At 35.6% G+C, this 20174-nt stretch overlaps 1 long non-coding RNA gene across 3 annotated transcripts in view, besides 1 other annotated feature; it reads right to left on the reverse strand.

The window, feature by feature from the left end:
- The window catches only part of LOC105369165 (uncharacterized), a 486292-nt gene that overhangs the window by 389433 nt on the left and 76685 nt on the right, over window positions 1–20174 (reverse strand). The gene's annotated exons all lie outside the window — the stretch shown is intronic.
- Window positions 113–1054: an enhancer, noted in NCBI's record as "OCT4-NANOG hESC enhancer chr2:53339359-53340300 (GRCh37/hg19 assembly coordinates)". NCBI's record gives its function as "activates a minimal SCP1, AML or CMV promoter by ChIP-STARR-seq in naive H9 embryonic stem cells {active_cell/tissue: H9 hESC(naive)}" and the evidence as "EXISTENCE:reporter gene assay evidence [ECO:0000049][PMID:30033119]".

The raw sequence follows: 20174 nt of genomic DNA on the forward strand, positions 1-20174 counted from the left end.
TGACAGAAGAACGTGGATTATGAAGATTTTATGGACATTTATTAGTTCCCCAAATTAATACTTTTGTAATTTCTTATGCCTGTCTTTACTGCAATCTCTAAAAATAAATTGTAAAGATTTCATGGACACTTACCACTTCCCCAATCAATACCCTTGTGATTTCCTATGCCTGTCTTTGCTTTAATCTCTTAATCCTGTCAGCCGAGAAGGATGTATATCGTCTCAGGACCCTGTAATAATTGCGTTAACTACACAAATTGTACAGCATGTGTGTTTGAGCAATATGAAATGTGGGCACCCTGAAAAAAGAACAGGATAACAGCAATTGTTCAGGGAATAAGAGAGATAACCTTAAACTCTGACCGCTGGTGAGCCAGGCAGAACAGAGCCATATTTGTCTTCTTTCAAAAGCAAATGGGAGAAATATCGCTGAATTCTTTTTCTCAGCATGGAGCGTCCCTGAGAAAGAGAATGCGCACCTAGGGGTAGGTCTCTGAACTGGCCCCCACCCCCCCAGGGCGTACCTGTCTCTTATGGTCGAGATTGCAGAGGTGAAATAAACTCCAGTCTCCCATAGCGCTCCTAGGCTTATTAGGAAGAGGAAATTCCCACCTAATAAATTTTGGTCAGACCGGTTGATCTCAAAACCCTGTCTCCTGATAAGATGTTATCAATGACAATGGTGCCCGAAACTTCATTAGCAATTTTAATTTGGCCTGGGTCCTGTGGTCCTGTGATCTTGCCCTGCCTCCACTTGCCTTGTGATATTCTATTACCTTGTTAAGTACTTGACGTCTGTCACCCACACCTATTTGCACACTCCCTCCCCTTTTGAAAATCCCTAATAAAAACTTGCTGGTTTTTGTGGCTGGTGGGGCATCACGGATCCTACCAACGTGTGATGTCTCCCATGGACACCTTGCTTTAAAATTTATCTCTTTTGTACTCTGTCCCTTTATTTCTGAAGCCAGCTGACGATTAGGAAAATAGAAAAGAACCTACGTGATTATCGGGGCAGGTCCCCCGATACTTTCCCTTTCATATATTCAGTACAGCATTAATGCCGGGTGAGGTATCAGGGCCCCGGCATTGCAAAGAGGTTGACTTGCAGGTTGGTAAGAATAATTTATTGATGACAGTATAGGTTTGAAAAGGAAAGTTTTATTAGATAGAAAGTATGCTGCAGAAGAGTGCAGGGTACCTCAGCAAAAGAGGAATGTATGTGCTGTGGTGGGTTTTCCTTAGGAACATTTATGGACCTTAAAGGGGGAGCTTAACGGTACTTTGGACCATATTACCCATGTAGATCATGATAAAGGATTATATGGGTAGACATTTTATTGCCTTAATTAGCCATGTAGATCATGATAAAGGATTATATTTGTAGACATTTTGGTGCCTTAATGTCAGCAAGGGTTGTACAAAGAGTTTGGGCATGCATGCATTCCGGAGATGTACAGAAATTCTAGTTACTTATAAGTTTCTTTTTGGAAAGAGGACTGGAACCAGATGCTGACTTTAGATAATAAGGAAATCTAATTACTTATAAATTCCCCAGATAAGGAGTTTTGTCTCTGTCTGGCCTGTTTGATGATCACCAGGTGATCTTTGCTCTCCTCAATTAATAACAAAAAATATATGTTAGGCACATTACCTCACAGTAGACAATATATAAATAACAAATAAATGTGGCATGATTCCTATTTATTGGTAAACTATAAAAGAAAAAACAAGTACATAAAATTCTGCTCTCTATTTATATTCAAGTCCTGGTCTGTGCCCACATTTCTCTGTCTACCATATGTACCCATCAAACTAAATGAAAGCAAATATCAGGAAAAAAACTAATAAAATCTTTATAGCAAAGATAATATTAGCTCAATGTGCTCATTTTGGCTGTGTATGTTCTAATACTTGATAAATACAAAGAAAGTATTAAACATTTGAATAACTATAACTAGTGAGTAGCTCATAAGCCATTCACAAAAGTCCCTTAACCCTCACAGGCCATGCACTGTGATTGAGGCTGGGGATAAAATAGTGAACCATAAGATCAAGGACCTTACTTATCACTTATCTTAAAGGTAGTAATAAGAACTATAAGAAAAATGAACCAGAATAAAATTAGAAGAACTGGCAAGTGAGAAGGAACAAGTAGTGTGTAGGTGGTCAGGGAAAGCCCTTCTGAGGTGACAAATTAGGTTAAAAGCTGACTGATGAGAGGCCCCAGCCGTGAAATGACTTGAGAGCAGAGCATTCCTGATAGAGAGAAAGGCAGATGCAAAGGTGTGGCTTGTTGGAGGAAGAGAAAGAAGGGCAGCATGGTTTACTTTGGTGAACACACACCTCTGAACTCATTGGTGCATGCCTTCTGTCAATCCAATCAAAACAACCTAAACAGATCAATCTGATCAGTAGCTACAGACACAATTCACTTTAGGGTTCCTTCCCCTTGGGATACAACATGGTTTCAGGATGGGAAACTTGGTCTAGAAAAGGTTTACTGGATAACCATGGTCCTTTATGATAAAACTCTGCTTATTCCTCTTTAGAGGGCTTATAGGCTGTCTTTAAATCTTGACTCTTAAAATAGTATCTTTGTAAAAAGTTTGCAGAGATGAATATCAACACTTGGCATGCCATCTGCATAGAGCTAATTATGTACACTTGTTATTTGTCACTATAAGATATTTCAGAATGAAATGTGCGAACCATCTGCCAACAACTTTATTCATATTTCTTGGATCATCAACAAGAAAACTTATACTTCTTCCCCTGCCCCCAGGGAACACAAATTGTAATGTGCGCAAGGTGGGTAGATGAAAAATTCTAAAAATGGCTTTGGCATGTACCAGAAAATAGGAGGTATTTTCAGTAGAATGTTCTAGAATCATTTGTATCTATCAGTCTGCTCTGTGTCCTTGATATAGTGTTATACAAATCAAACCTAACTCTCCAAGTGTCAGACCGACACCAGTGCTTTTAGCATTGTTTACATGATTGTTGGGTAAGGAAGAACAAAGAATCTATGAGCTTAAAATAAGTTGCAGTTTGCCATTTGATTATGTAAATATGTGGTTACATGATCCCCAAATTCTCCAAATCACATTTTATGCACAAAGGCAAAACCAGCTTTTGTGTCTTGAAAAACAGGTGCACAATTATCCCTGCAAAGAAAAAGAGAGTCATTTGCAGTGATTTTTTGGGGAAATGATTGAGCAATTACAGACATACATACTAATTTTGTTTCACCCTCTGACCATCTTCTATTTGCAAAATGCATAGGCTTTTTCTCTCTCCTTGATAAGAGAAAGAAGCTGCAGAAACAAAGATAAGGAAGTCGGACAATTTATGCTGCTGCCAGTGGACATCAACCTGGCACTACTTGTTCAAGCATTTTTCAGTGAGTACTTGCCATGCCTGATCATTTAATAAAATACCTTGGTAGTTTAATTCATATCTTACTAATATGACTTGCCTAAACACCCCCACAGAAATCCAGGGATTCAATATTTTTTGCAACATGTATAATTTTTAATTGCACTTTCTAGTAGTCAATCTGGAAATAAATTAAGAGGTGAAGGAAAAAGACTAAAACACCCTATATTTCGATTTGCAAATTCAACTCACTTTCTTGCTACCTGTGGTTTGCTCAATGCCAAAAGGGCCATATATTTGTTATAATATAAGATTATAACTTGGACAATTCTAGAAGGCAAAAAAGAAATGCCGTTCTTTACTACTTGGACTAGTTTCACCAGTTGAATACTATTTTCACTACTTGAGCCACTTTCAATGTTTGAACTCTGAAAAATTTCCAGGATTGGAACTATAATACTATACAAAGTCAAATTTATATTTCCCAAATTAAATTTTTAAAAATAAAGCTGGCCTAAATATATACATCTAAAATGTTTATACATACACATATATATGCATGCTTATCTGCCCGCACAGACACACACAGTCATCTTTATATCTATATTTTAAGGATCCGATGAAGAATCTCTAATTGTAGAAAACTATTTTGCATAATTCAAAATCACTGAAATGTCAATTACCTTTAAAAATTATCCCATTAAAACTACTCGGGAGATTTTTAACTATAATTTTATTCCAATAAATAATTTGATAGGGCTACTGGTAAACCATTAGAATAGAAAAACTTGGCATAAATGAGTTACAGTCAAATACTACAAATATCATAATATCAATAATAATATAGAAAAATATATCTGAATATTAATTCTAGATTGTACTAAATAATGATAAATGTCCTGATGTAAAGGGTACATGAATCAATATTACTTGGAGAAAAGGCTCAAAGCATATACCATTATACCGCATCCTTGGCCATTCTGTTCATCAAGTCCGTGAATGCTTTGAATAAGAAAAAAGTGATTTGCTTATAATTTGCTAATAAAAAGAATCTGAGAAACAGCCAACACATGGGTGAGTTGAGATTAAAAATAGCAGCATGAAATGATGGGCCAAATTTATGAAAAATAAAATTATATAGATGAATATAGTCCAGATGTTATCAAAATTATGTGAGCACAAGCACAGGATAGGGAAGATGGTCTGGCATCTTTGCTCTACCATTTACTCACTGCACGAACTGGAGCAAGTTGCTTAACCTCTTTGTGTTTCCATTTATTCATCCGTAAAATGGGTATAATAAAAACAGTACTGATCTTTTATGAGTGTTGTCGGATTAAATGACCTTAAAGAATTATCAGTCACAGACTCAACTCTCAATGAATGTTAGTTAAATTACTGTTGTGTTTGTTTTCTAAAAAGAGCTGTTTTGCCTAAAAGCTCAATGTGAATCAACAGTGTGATGAGATAGCCAAAATATATTGACCTTCGGCTGCATTAAAAAAAATAAAATATCAAGAGTGTGAAGTCTACGGGAATATTGACAAATGATCATTCAGCCCCTGGCCATGCTCTTCCATCCTGGTGCCTCTGCCTTCTGCTGTCTGTCTCTTTCTCTGTTTTTCTATGTTCATCTCTTTTATACATGTTTCTCTCCCTATCTAGCTCTTTCGCTCTTTCTATGCCACTTCTTTTCCGCCCTTTAGAGGAAACCTCAATACCCCTGAGCGCATCTAGAGGAGAGCAAAAACTCCTCTTGATGCACTCCTCCTTCTTCTCTGGTGAAGGCAGAAAGTGGGAAAATGGAATGGCCACTCTATAAACAGAGACCACGAGGCAGAGGGAGGAAAACTTCTCTGAAGAGCCACACAGGCTGCTGTCAAGAACACCCAAGACAGACAGTTTAAACCAAGCTTTGCAGCTTAGCAGGGAACAAGAAGACTCAGTGGAACAATTACAGGAAGAAGATATTTGGATTAAAAATAGATAAACTTTTTACCTAAAACTTTCTGGAATTAAGAGTAGTATCCTCGTGAAATAGTAAATTTTCTCTCACCCAAAAGTTTGAGAAGAGGCTGGAGAGCCTGTAATTATATGTAATCATGACAGCTGGACTTAAGCATCCTTGAAAAGGCTTGTCAAGTTAACTGTGCTTATAGACAAAAAGCACTGACTTTGTATATGCTGTGACTTGAAGTGCAACAGAGACCCTCAAATGAAACAAGCAAGTAATAACAAACATAATTTTGACTCCAAAATGGAACAAGACTTGGACTGTTTCCATTGGATGAAGACTTTGAAAGCTCTTGTCAAAATGGAAAATACTGTCCAGTAGGGGTTATTTTTTAATGATCATTTTACTGTGAATTTATTTCCAAACTGGGCAATGGAACATATATATAAGATAAAATAGACTTCATTTTATATGTAAAATAGACAACTGGAGAGAAGCTATGAACAATAAAATCCACTGGGTTATATACTTCCTTTTGCTTCTATGTCTTTTGATTTAGGAAGGCACTGCTTATTTATGTGATTGAATGACAAACATCTGCAAAATATCTACATCATATAGTGATCACCGATTACGTGACCCTCCAGATATGAAACAAAATGCACATAATTAAACTACAATGTTGCCATTTTCAATATACCCAATATTATCACTTTGCTAAGCATGTCAGAAAGAAAACTCATTCTTCACTATTATTTGCAACCTAAGTGCAATTGTCAATGCTATTTAAGGATAAAATGTAAATATAAAAGGAAAGGGGGCATTAAACTCAGTATCCAAAATGTAACTACTTCTGAAACAGATTTTTTTAAAAGCACTTGATATATTTGCTATAGATACACTCACCTTTAAATTTTACTACTTACTTGCTAATAAGGATATAAAAATTACTCATTTTATATAATGGCTTAGGAAACAGGATTTTTTTTTTAACAGCATAAAATTCATCATGGAAGTCAGTAGTTGGCTTAAATTGCATTTTTTTCCCTTACTTGCCATTTAGAAAACTAAAAGAGCAAACATTCCAAGAGAGAAAGATTCCAAATAAACAGTAAACAAAGAATAATAATATAAACTAATCTACCCATGGAAAGAAAACAGAAAGAAATTTTTTAAGAAAGCAGTTTGGGAAAGAGGTAACACAAAGAAAACTGGAGAGTTAAACTCAAAAAGATTAGTAATTATATTCAATGTAAATGAATTGGAAACTCCAATGAAAAGACAAAGATTGTAAGATTATAATAAAAGACTCATGTTTGTATATAAAACATACAGACACATTACCTGAAAGTAAAACCGTTTTTTTAAAATGTATCATGTAAAAAAATAAACAAAAACTGAAATAAATACATTAATTCAAACTGAGTAAACTTAAGGACAACAGGCATTAAAAGGAAAAAAGTGAGGCACATTTTAAGAATAAAATGTTCAGTTCACCAGTAAGATAAAACACTTCAAAATTTGTATGCAACTATTATAATCAACTGCAAATATTCTAAAAAAAACTGACATAACCACAAGGAGTAATTCATAATTATTATAGAGGTTTTTAATTCAACTTTCTCAATATCATGGAAAAGACAGGAAAAATATAATAAGGCATAGAAGATTTAAACAAAAAGATTAACAAATTTGACTTGATATATGGTTTGTTGTTCCCTACAACCATAGAATAAAAATTATTTTCAAGGATACCTAAAATATTTATAAAAACTGACCAAAGGAAATCTCAATACATTTTAATTATTAAAATACTACAGAAAATATCTGATCAGAGTAGAATTAAGACAGAAATGAGTAACAATAATATCTTGCCACAAGTTTTGGAAATTAAGAAATATAATTATTTGCAACCCATAGGTCAATGAATAAATTACAAGAAAATATGAAAATATTTTAAATTAAAGGATAGCTAAGATTCTACATATCCAGGTTATGAAAAGCAACTAAAGCTAGAAATTTACAGCTTCAATTTTATAGATGACAGATAGGATAGGACTAAAAAGTTAATAAGCTCTGAATCTAGCTCAAGATGTTAGAAAAGAGAAAAAGGTAAACTAAAAGTAGATAAAAAGAAATAATAAGAACAAAAATCAATGAAATAGAAACCAATGTACAAGAAAGAATTCTCCAAGCCAGAACCTGGTTCTTTGAAAAGATAATAAAATTAATAAACCCCTAAGTAGAATAATCTGGAAAGTAAAAATAAGACAAAGGTAAAAAATTATCAATTTCAGAGAGAGAAAAGCTAATACCATCAAAGATCCTACAGACATTACATATATGTTATGCAACATATATAAAGCTATATGTTATGGAAAACATGCCAATAAATTTACCAAGATGTAAATAGCCTTATAACCATAAAAAAAATGAATCCATAATTTAAAATATTACCACAAGGAGAACTGGCCTCAGTAGCCTCAAGGGTGAACTCTATCAAACATTTAAGGTTATTAGCTCAACTGGAATGTCAAGATACCCTACGGGTACTTTGAGAAAGGAAAACTTACAGACCAATTTCATTTATAAACCTAGATACAAAAATCCTAATGTTTGCAAACTGATTTAGAAACATATATTTAAAAAAAGGGCTGGGCACAGTGGCTCACGCCTGTAATCCCAACACTTTGGGAGGCCAAGGAGGGTGGATCACCTGAGGAGTTCAAGACCAGCCTGACCAACATGGAGAAACCCCATCTCTACTAAAAATACAAAATTAGCTGGGTGTGGTGGCACATGCCTGTAATCCCAGCTACTCGGGACGCTGAGGCAGCAGAATCAATTGAACCTGGGAGGCGGAAGTTGCAGTGAGCCAAGATCGCACCATTGCACTCCATCCTGGGCAACAAGAGTGAAACTCCATCTCAAAAAAAAAAAGAAAAAAAAATATGACAATGAAGTTTACTTCAGGAATAATATATTAAACATTTTTTTTAAAGTAGTCACTATGGTATGCTACATTAAGAAAAAAATCTTATAATTATCTCAACAGACCAGAAAAGCAATTGATATAATTCAACATTTATTCATGATTATGAACTCATAACAAATGATTAATATTAATAGAAAGAAAACTTCTTAATGTAAGGAAGAGTAATTACAGAAAACTTGTAACATTTAAAGATGTTTTCAGTTAGTGGTAAAAGTTGAAAACTTTACTTTGAAATCAGGTCCAAGACAAGTATACCTGATATGATTACTTGTATTCCATGTTGTTCTAGCAAGAAAAATATGCAAGAAATAAAAGCATAAGAATTGGAAATGAATAAATAAACTGCCACTGTTAGCAGAGGTCTTGAACTATAAGTAGAAAATCCAAAAGAAAAACCAGAAAAATAATTAGACCTAATAAGTGAGTTTAGCAAAGCGCTATTTATTGTGACCATACAAAATTAACCTGTATTTCTATGTACCAGCAACAAAAAGCAGAAAATAAAATTAAAAGATTTTATTTAAAATACATGAAAATATGGATTTTATTTAAAATACATAAAAATATGTGACCAAAACACTGTGAAAGATTGAGAAAAATGTTAAGAAATCTTATTAAATTGAGAGATACAATACTTTAATTGACCAGAAAACTTAACATTTAAAAAATAAATCTCTCCAAGTTGATCTACAAACTAAAAGCAGTCACAATGAGAATTGCAACAGATTTGTGTTTCTGGTTTTAGGGAACTAGACAAGCTGTTTCTATAATTAATATAAAAATGCAAAAGATCAAGAATAGCCAAGACTATCTGGTTTCTGCTCTCAAAAATTATCAATGATCTCAAAGAGTGTTAATTTACATGGGTAAAATGTATTTATTATATTAGGCATTAAAATGGGGAACAGTTTAAAGATATTTGTAATAAATTGATTTTAAAATAATCAATGAATACGTTACAACAAAATAGCATATTTTAACATATGAAATAATAGTATACTTTTCAAATCAAAAATAGAATAACAGCGGCCCTGTTTGCATTTTCGCCAATCTCTTCAAAATCTGTTTTAATAGAAGACTGAATTAAATCTGTTGCATGTGCAATTTGGTTCAAGTATATAAAGAAAATCCAGCCTCACATATATATGTAGTTGGAAAAGATTTTATCAAGGACCCCCTCATTGGGTCTTGGGTACCTCGTAGGCTTTGAGAACCACTGACAACAAAAATCTTAAAATGACTATGGAGTGATGACCTGCTTTACTTATTTTGTTATTTTTTATTTTATTTCAATAGTTTTTGGGGAACAGGTTGTGTTACATGACACGGATAAGTTTGCTAGTGGTGATTTCTGAGATTTTGGTGCACGCACCACCCAATCAGTGTACGCTGTAACCAGTGTGTAGTCTTTTATCTCTCAGCCCCCTCCCACCCTTTCTGCCACGTCCCCAGAGTCCATTGTATCATTCTTATGCTTTTGCACCCTCATAGCTTAGCTCCCACTTATGAGTGAGAGCATATGATGTTTGGTTTGCCATTCCTAAGTTACTTCACTTGGAATATCGGTCTCCAATTCCATCCAGGTTTCTGCGAATGCTATTATTTCATTCCTTTTTATTCCTGAGTAATGTTCCATGGTATTATACCACAATTTCTTTATCCACTCATTCACTGATGGGCATTTGGGCTGGTTCCATATTTTTGCAATTGCAAATTGTGCTGCTATAAACACACGTGTGCAAGTATCTTTTTCATATAATGACTGTTTCCTCTGGGTAGATACCCAATAGTGGGACTGCTGGATAAAATGGTATATCTACTTTTAGTTCTTTAAGGAATCTCTATACTGTTTTCCATAGAGTCTGTACTAGTTTACATTCCCACCAGCAGTGTAAAAGTGTTCCCTTTTCACCACATCCATGCAAACATCTATTATTTTTTTATTATGGCCATTCTTGCAGGAGTAAGGTGGTATTGCATTGTGGTTTTGATTTGCATTTCCCTGATCATTAGTGATGTTGAGCATTTTTTCATATGTTTATTGGCCGCTGGTATATCTTTTTTTGAGAATTGTCTATTCATGCCCTTAGCCCATTTTTTGATGGGATTGCTTTTTTTCTTGCTGATTCGTTTGCGTTTCTTGTAGATTCTGGATATTAGTCCTTTGTCAGATGTATAGATTGTGAAGATTTTCTCCCACTCTGTGGGTTGTATGTTTACTCTGCTGATTGTATCTTTTGCTGTGCAGAAGCTTTTTAGCTTAATTAAATCCCATCTATTTTTGTTTTTGTTGCATTTCCTTTTGAGTTCTTGGTCATGAAGTCTTTGCCTAACCCAATGTCTAGAAGGATTTCTCTGATGTTATCTTCCAGAACTTTTAAGTTTTCAGGTCTTAGATTTAAGACTTTGATCCATCTTGAGTTGATTTTAAGGTGAGAGATGAGGATCTGGTTTCATTCTTCTACATGCGGCTTGCCAATTATCCCGGCACCATTTGTTGAATAGGATGTCCTTTCCTCACTTTATATTTTTGTTTGCTTTGTCAGAGATTAGTTGGCTGTAAGTATTTGGCTTTATTTCTGGGTTCTCTATTCTGTTCCATTTGTCTATGTGCCTATTTTCATACCAGTATCATGCTGTTTTGATGACTATGGCCTTTTAATGTAATTTGAAGTCAGGTAATGTGATGCCTCTGGATGTGTTCTTTTTGTTTAGTCTTGCTTTGGCTATGTGGGCTCTTTTTTTAGGATTGCTTTTTTCATTCTGTGAAGAATGACAGTGCTATTTTGATAGGCATTACATTGAATTTGCAGATTGCTTTTGACAGTATGGTCATTTTCACAATATTGATTCTACCCATCCCTAAGCATTGGATGTGTTACCATTTGTGTCGTCTATGATTTCTTTCAGCACTGTTTTGTAGTTTTCCTTGTAGAAGTCTTTCACGTCCTTGGTTAGGTATATTACTGGTTTGTTTGTTTGCACCTATTGTAAAAGGGGTTGAGTTCTTAATTTGATTCTCAGCTTGGTTGCTGTCGGTGTATAGCAGTGCTACTGACTTGTGTGCATTAACTTTGTGTCCTGAAAGTTTACTGAATTCATTTATCAGTTCTAGGAACTTTTTGGATAAGTCTTTAGGATTTTCTAGGTATATGATCATATCACTGACAAACAGCAGCAGTTGGACTTCCTCTTTACCAGTTCAGATGCCCTTTATTTCTTTCTCCTGTCTGATTGCTCTGGCTAGGACTCTCAGTGGAAATGCTTTCAACTTTTCTTCATTCAGTATATGTTGGCTATGGGTTTGTCATAGATGGCTTTTATTACCTTAAGGTATGTAACTCCTGTGCTGATTTTGCTGAGGATTTTAATCATAAAGCAATGCTGGATTTTGTCAAATGCTTTCCCTGCATCTGTTGAGATGATTGTGTGATTTTTGTTTTTACTACTGTTTATGTTGTGTATCACATTTACTGACTTGCAAATGTTAAACTATCCCTGCATCCCTGGTATAAAACCCATTTAATCATGACGGATTATCTTTTTGATATGCTGTTGGATTCAGTTAGCTAGTATTTTGTTGAGGATTTTTGCATCTATGTTCATCAGGGATATTGGTCTGCAGTTTTATTTTTTTGTTATGTCCTTTCCTGCTTTAGGTATTAGGGTGATACTGGCTTCATAGAATGATTTAGGGAGGATTCTCTCTTTCTCTATCTTTTGGAATAGTCTCAGTAGGATTGGTACCAATTCCTCTTTGAATGTCTGATAGAATTCAGCTGTGAATCCATCTGGTCCTGGACTTTTTTTGTTGTTGGCAATTGTTTTTTATTGCCATTTCAATCTCGCTACTTGTTATTGGTCTGTTCAGAGTTTCTATGTCCTCCTGGTTTAATCTAGGAGGGTTGTGTATTTCCAGGAATTTATCCATCTCTAGGTTTTCTAGTTTGTATACATAAAGGTGTTCATAGTAGCCTTGAGTGATCTTTTGCATTTATATAATATCAGTTGTAATATCTCCCACTTCATTTCTAATTGAGCTTATTTGGATCTTCTCTCTTTCTTGGTTAATGTTGCTAATGGTCTATCAATTTTGTTTATCTTTTCAAAGAACCTGTTTTTTGTTTCATTTATCTTTTGTATTGTTTTGTTTCAATTTCATTTAGTTCTGCTCTGATCTTGATTATTTCTTTTCTTCTGCTGGGTTTGGGTTTGTTTTGTTCTTGTTTCTCCAGTTCCTTGAGGTTTGACCACAGATTGTCTATTTATGCTCTTTCAGACTTTTCAATGTAGGCATTTAATCTTATGAACTGTCCTCTTAGCACTGCTTTTGCTATATCCCAGTGGTTTTGATAGGTGTTGTCACTATGATTGTTCAAAGAATTTTTTAAATTTTTAACCTCATTTCATTGTTGACCCAAAAATCATTCAGGAGCAAGTTATTTATTTTCCATGTATTTGCATGGTTTTGAGAGTTCCTTTTGGAGTTGATTTCCAATTTTATTCCACTGTAGACTGACTGAGAGAATCCTTGATATAATTTTGATTTCCTTAAATTTATTGAGATTTGGTTTTTGGCCTATCATATAGTCTGTCTTGGAGAATATTCCATGTGCTGATGAATAGAATATATCTCCTGCAGTTGTTGGGTAGAATGTTCTATAAATATCGGTTAAGCCCATTTACTCTTGGGTATAGTTCAAGTTCATTGATTCTTTGTTGGCTTTCTGGCTTGATGACCTGTGTAGTGCTGTCAGTGAAGTATTGAAGTCCCCCACTATTATTGTGTTTCTGTCTATCTCATTTCTTAGGGCTAGTAGTAATTGTTTTATAAATTTGGGAGCTCCAGTGTTACATGCATATGTATTTAGGATTGTGATATTTTCCTGTTGAACTAGTATTTTTATCTTTATATAATGTCTCTCTTTGTCATTTTTAACTGTTGTTTGAAATCTGTTTGTCTGATGTAAAAATAGCTACTCCAGCTTGCTTTTGGTGTTCATTTGCAAGGAATATCTCTTCCACTCCTTTACCTTAAGTTTATATGAGTCCCTAAATGTCAGATGAGTCTCTTGAAGACAGCAGATACTTTATTGGTAAATTCTTATCCATTCTGCCATTCCGTATCTTTTAAGTGGAGCATTTAGGCCATTTACATTCAATGTTAATATTGAGATGTGAGGTACTATTTTATTCATTGTACTATTTGTTGCCTGAATACCTTGTTTTGTTTTGTTTCATTGTGTTATAGGTCCTGTGAAATTTAGGTTTTAAGGAGGTTCTATTTTGTTTTCATTTTGAGGATTTGTTTCAATATTTAGAGCTCCTTCTAGCAATTCTTATAGAGCTGGCTTGGTAGTGGAGAATTCTCTCAGCATGTTTGTCTGAAAAAGACTGTATCTTTCCTTCATTTATGAAGCTTAGTTTCACTGGATACAAAATTCTTGGCTGATAATTGTTTTATTCAAGGAGGCTAAAGATAGGACTCCAATCCCTGCTAGCTTGTAGGGTTTCTGCTGGTGTTACTCTAATACATTTTCCTTATAGGCTATCTGATCCTTTTGCCTCACAGCTCTTAAGATTCCTTCGTCTTGACTTTAGATAGCCTGATGACTATGTGCCTAGGTGATATTTGTGTGATGAGCATCACCTGGGTGTTCTTTGAGCTTCTTGTATTTGGACATCTAGATCTCTAGAAAGGCCAGGGAAGTTTTCCTCAATTATTCTCTCAAATAAGATTTCCAGGCTTTTAGATATCTCCTATTCCTCAGGAACACCAATTATTCTTAGGTTTGGTCATTTAACATAATTGCAAACTTCCTGGAGGCATTGCTCATTTTTTAAAATTACTTTTTCTTTTTGTCAGACTGGCTTAATTTGAAAGCTTTATTTTTGAGCTCTAAAGTTCTTTCTTCTACTTGATCAATTCTATTGTTGAAATTTTCCACTGTATTTTGCATTCCTCTAAGTGTGTCTTTCTTTTCCAGAAGTTGTGGTTGTTTTTTAGTTATGGTGTCTATTTCTCCGGAGATTTTTTTTGTCCATATCTTGTATTATTTTTTAAATTTCTTTAAGTTGGTTTTCACCTTTCCCTGGTGCCTCCTTGAGTAGTTTAATAATCGATCCTCTGAATACTTTCCCTGGCAATTCAGAGATTTCTTGTTGGTTTGGATCCATTGCTAGTGAGCTAGTGTGATATTCTGGGGGTGTTACAGAATTTGTCATATTACCAGAACTGTTTTTCTGGTTCCTTTTCATTTGAGTAAATTATGCCAGAGGAAAGATATGGGACTCAAGAGCTGCCGTTCAGATTCCTTTGTCTCACTGGGGGATCCCTTGATGTGGTGCTTTCCCCCTTCCCCGAGGGATAGGGCTTCCTGAGAGCAGGACTGCAGTGATTTTTATTGCTCTTCTGTGTCTAGCCATCTAGCAGAGCTACCAGACTCTGGGCTTATAATGGAAAGTGTCTGCAGAGTCCTGTGATGTGATCCATCTTCAGGTCTCTCAGCCATGGATACAAACACCTGTTCTGGTGGAGGTAGCAGGGTAGTGAAGTGGACTCTGTTAGAGTCCTTGGTTGTAGGTTTCTTTAGTGCACTGGTTTTCTCAAATGCTGGTTTATGCTAGAAGTGAAGTTGTCACAGGGACAGATTCAGGACTTCTGGTCAGCCAGGATGTTACAGGCAGTGGTATTAGCTGTTGTTTTCTCCCTTCTTGGAGCAGGGTTGTTCTGTTGTGAGTTGCTGTAATGGCTTTAGTTGGTTGGCCTCCAGCCAGGAAGTGGCAGTTTCAAGAGAGAATCAGCTGCGGTAATATGGAGGGATACAAGTTTGCCCAAAGGTCACCTAGATAAGTATTCAGATTTCTCAGGTGATGGGTGGGGCCATAGAACTCCCACGAGTTTATCTTTTCTGTCTTTAGCTACCAGGGTGGGTAGGGAAAGACCATCAGGTGGGGACAGGGCTAAGCATGTCTGAGCTCAGACTCTCCTTGGGCGGGGCTTGCTGGGGCCACTGTGAGGGATCGGGAGGTTGGTTCTCAGGCCAATGGAGTTATGTTCCAAGAGGTAGCGTGGCTGCCTATGCTGTTTTGCATAGTTTGCCAGAGAAGTGGGGAAAGCTGGCAGTGACATGCCTCACCCAGCTCCCCCAGATTCTGCCCAGGAAAATTCAGGCTCAGTTGAAATTATTACAAAGTTCCACTGGAAGTCTCCTTCTGCCTGTGGCCCTTCCCCAAATCCACTGGCTGCCCTCCCCAAGGACCCCTGTGAAATAAAGTCAGAAATGGCTTGCCTCGGCTTCCCTGGAGACCAGAAATACCTACAGGGCTCTTCCCACTGTTTCTTCTACTTTTATATTTCACTCAGCTCTCTAAATTTGTTTCAGCTCTAAGGTAAGTTTAAATCCTTCTCCCATGATCTAGATGTTTAGTTTCCCCAGTGAGGATGTGTGTTTGGAGGTGGACATTTTCCCCTCACACTTCGGGGACTCAGTTTTTCAGCTGTCTCACGGAATTTGCAGAAGCAAGTCGCTTCTTTCAAAAGGCCTGTGAATTCTTTTGGTTTTCCCGGTATGTTCATACAGTGGTTCTTGAAGCAAAAGTTCATGATATTAGTCTCTACACACTGTTCTGTCTGTCTGATAGAGAGAGGCAAGTTAGTCCTGCCTCCTATATGCCATTTTTCTAGTTAGTTTATAAAGAAAAAGGGCTTATTTGGATTCTTTACTTTTTTCTCTTTTTTGAGGCAGAGTGTCACTCTGTCACCCAGGCTGGAGTCCAGTAGCACAATCTCAGCTCACTGCAACCTCCGTCTCCTGGGTGCAAGCAATGCTCCTGCTGTACTTGTTTTAAAGTAGCAATTACTAAACAGTATGGGTTGACAGAATAAGAGAAAACAAACCAATGAAAAAAGAAAAATCCTAGAAACAAACACATACACACATGAACTCTTCATTGATACCAAAAGTGACATTGTGGAGACATGGGAAAGGGTGGTCTTTTCAATACATGATACTGGGATAAGTGGATATCCCTGTGAGAAGAAAATGTAACTGTACTCCTCCATTCTACCATACAAAAAAAAAAAACCAATGTCAGGTGGATTTGAGACCAAAATGATAAAGCTTTTAGAAGAGTACAGGATATTATTAAGTTTACAGGGAAAGGAAACATTTCTGTTTTGATTTTTAACAGAAAGCAAGAAGCACTTGCTATTAAAGGTGAAGACAGATATTTTTGGCTATGTGAACATTAAATTATTTTCCTCAAAATGTATCAAGGGAGTTGAATAACAAGTCATAGAATAGAAATGGTATTTGCAATTCATAGAGTTAATTTTAAAAGTGCAAAGGCAGAATATAGACACCACATAGTAGAATATATCGAAATTGCCAACAGTCAAATTAAAAATTGATTGTCCTCATTATTCATCAGAGAAATGCAAATTAAAACTGTAATTACACATCACTATACACCCACCAGAAATATCTAATTAAAAAGACTGACAGTGTAAGTGCTAGCAAGGATGAGAGAGAAATGGGTACTCTCATAAAGCTTCGTGTTATCCGCTAAAGCTGAAGACATCCTCTATGACCTAGCAATTCCATTCCTATGTATAAACTCAACTAAAATTCATTCACAAGCACCGAGAGACAGACAAAAGGATTTGCATAGAAGATTCATTATTCACAGCTAAAAGTTTCACTCAGTTCAAATGTTCATCCATAGTTGATTAATTTAATTATATGTATTCAATAGAACACCCTAACCGTACTGAGAATGAAAAGACAATAGTTATATGTAAAAACATAGCTGAATCTTATAAATGTAATGTTAAGCAAAGAACCCATATGTAAAAAGAGCACTTATTACAGATATCAGTTTATGTAATTTTTCTTTGTATGTGTTATATTTATACTACAGTTTTTTTAAAAGTCACACTATTAATGCAATAACGTTTATGATCACACATGTGCCAGAAATCTAAGCGCTTAATATAAATTGTCTCATTCATTTTTGAAAACAACCCCTATTTTATAGATGAATAACCATAGTCATTAAAAGGTTAAATAATGTACCATAATGACAAATGACAGTGCCAAAAATAGACACAGTCTTGATTATAGAACTGTGCAGAGTATACAGTCTGTCTTATATGCATCATCTCATTTAATCTTAACCTGCAATGTAGGAGCTCTTATTTCTATCATCTATGAGAAAAATGAGCCCTGGGGAGATTCAATCAAACGCTTAGGGTCACAAAGCTAAGAGGAGCCCAGGCCTCTACCAGCTACACTACATTGCATTGCCTTCATTTAGTCACACAAACAGGCACCTTTTCATTTTTTATTCTATACAAGTCCACTGAAATAAATTAGCATACTGGCTTATACCAAGTAAACGAATGTTTGGGGAATGAAACATGCCATACTGAGCCATTCAACCCAGTTATTCAAAAAATAAGGTCTATCTCTGTTTCCTAAATAAGAATTGAGAATTAACATGCAGATAGCCAGAAACATTTGGTTCTGGCTTTTCATGGCAGCATGTGACTAATGATTTCACATTTGTGATATGGGATTTCTGGGACCTAACCACAACTAGCTCTGGCAATTACGAAATCCAGTTTGAAAGAACAGTGCAGAGCAACTAAACAGAGAAACAGTCAGTGGCACTTGTGGGATACAGGTGGCTAATTCCTCAAAACAGTAGCAGAATCTTGCATTCCTAGTGTCTTTATCACAAACTGCAAATGTGACAATGAAGGAAACCATGTGAGGAAGGTCTAAGGAAAAGAAGAACAACTGTGCAGAGAGAAGTACAGAAAGGGAGAAGGGGGAGTAAACAGACAAAAAGAAAGGGAAAAAATTAAGGCCAAATAATTTCCATTCCTTGGTACATTGAATATGGAAAAAAAGAAAATAGAAAAAAAAGAAATAAATAATACCCTTCTGCCCCAAGGGAGAAAAGAAAACCTGGTCAGTGAAAGGGGTGATGATAGAAACCTTCATTCTGAAGTCTGCATTTGTGGAATCAGACCACATTCTCATGACTCTCAGCATTTAATCACCATTCTTCTAACTTCTCAGTCTGAGTTGAAAAATGCCATCCCACATTCAGCATGATGTTGCAATAAAATGACTTCTTCCGGCAACTTGCCTTGTAATTTGGGTGAATTACAATTGGTTCTGCCGGTAAAATAATGTGATGCCTGTTGGTGACCTAAAAACTTAATAGCACCATTCACTTGCTTCCCGGCCCTGAAAATAAATGGTTAGTCACCAAATTTGTAATTTCAGAAGGGCCTGACTACCACTATTTGAGTCACTACTGCACACAGTAGCTCTGGTAATACTGACATCAAAATATCTAGGGCAAATTTTGAAAACAAGATGAGTTTCATCCAACGTCTCTTCCTTTTGGAGCTTCGTTAACTGCACTAACACTCATTTAATAGGGCTTATTAGTCAGAAGGGGATTTCAGTCTTAGTTATCAATTTCATGCAGACTCCTTTCAAGAGATTTCCTTCCACCTTTGGCATTTGTCTTATTTGCAAACTCTACCCTCTATTGCTTGTAAATCTGCATTCCCAAAAGAAAAATAATGAAATTCATATCCTATATTTGTATGAGGTAGCACAGGAGTTCAACTGCTTTCTGAAACTAGTAGAATATTAGAGATACTCCTTATCATATGAGAAGAGACTCCCAATATTCTCCAAGGGAACTCCAGTAAAGAAGAAATAAAAATCTTTTAAAATACTGTTATGTTCTAAAACAAATGAATAGTCTGAAATAGAAAGTAGACAGTTAAAAAATTATTTGCATTGGATATCATAAATTTAAAGGAATAACAATAAATGATATCTGTGATGGTGATTATTAGATAAGTATTTTCCTGCCTCCACTTGCCCTCTAAATTTTCTGCATTATTTCTGTTTATTTTAAAAATACGTATTTTTAAATGCTGACATTGAGGAGTTACTTTAAATGACAGTCAATATACTTTGTCTGAAGCAAACAATTAGAAAAAGTCATACCCAAATTAGTATGAAATAAAATGTATCTGCTAATGGAAAGCAAGAGAAGTAGGTAACTTTTGTCAGGTAGAAAATTGCCATCTTCAGGATTATGAGTAATGTGATACCTAACATTCTTTGGGTCCACCACAAGAAAATGACTCACATGTATTTCCTGTATTCGAACTTACTAAAGTAGAGAATGGAAAAGGAATCCAATTGAAGAAATAATTTCATGTGTAGTTTGGAGGTCCATTTATATAGACATGTGCTGGGGAAGTAGGAGGGGGCATCTATCTATCTCTTGATATCATTGGTTGTCAAAGGAAGAAAGTAGGAACATTGTTTTTCTGGCTTTATCATATGCTCTAAGCATCAAAGCAGACAGCCTAGGGCAGTCAGAACCAGAATCAAGACCACCAGTGCAATAGACTAAAAGAGTGGTTTCTAACCAGGTTGTCCTACAGGGGTCATTTGGCAATGTCTGGAGACATTTTTGATCAGCATAATTGGAAGATTCTACTGGACTCTAGTGGAGAGAGGCCAAGGATGCTTCTAAATATCCTACAATGCACAAGACAGCCCCCATGATAAAGAGTTAACTGGCCCTAAATGTGCCAAGGTTGAGAAACCCTGGCCTAGGGAAATACCTAGGAGTATAAAAGATACACTGCTTAAAATTCGGACCACAATATATTAATCAAGCTGAATAAGATTTACTTAGAAGTCAAAGGCACATAAAAACTAACTGGGCTATAGTTTAATTGTTGATTTGTATATTTTATGTTAAAGTATATCTTAAAGAAATCAAATATTCTTAATTTACCCA

The sequence above is a fragment of the Homo sapiens genome, chromosome 2, assembly GCF_000001405.40.
Source record: "Homo sapiens chromosome 2, GRCh38.p14 Primary Assembly".
NCBI lineage: Eukaryota > Metazoa > Chordata > Mammalia > Primates > Hominidae > Homo > Homo sapiens.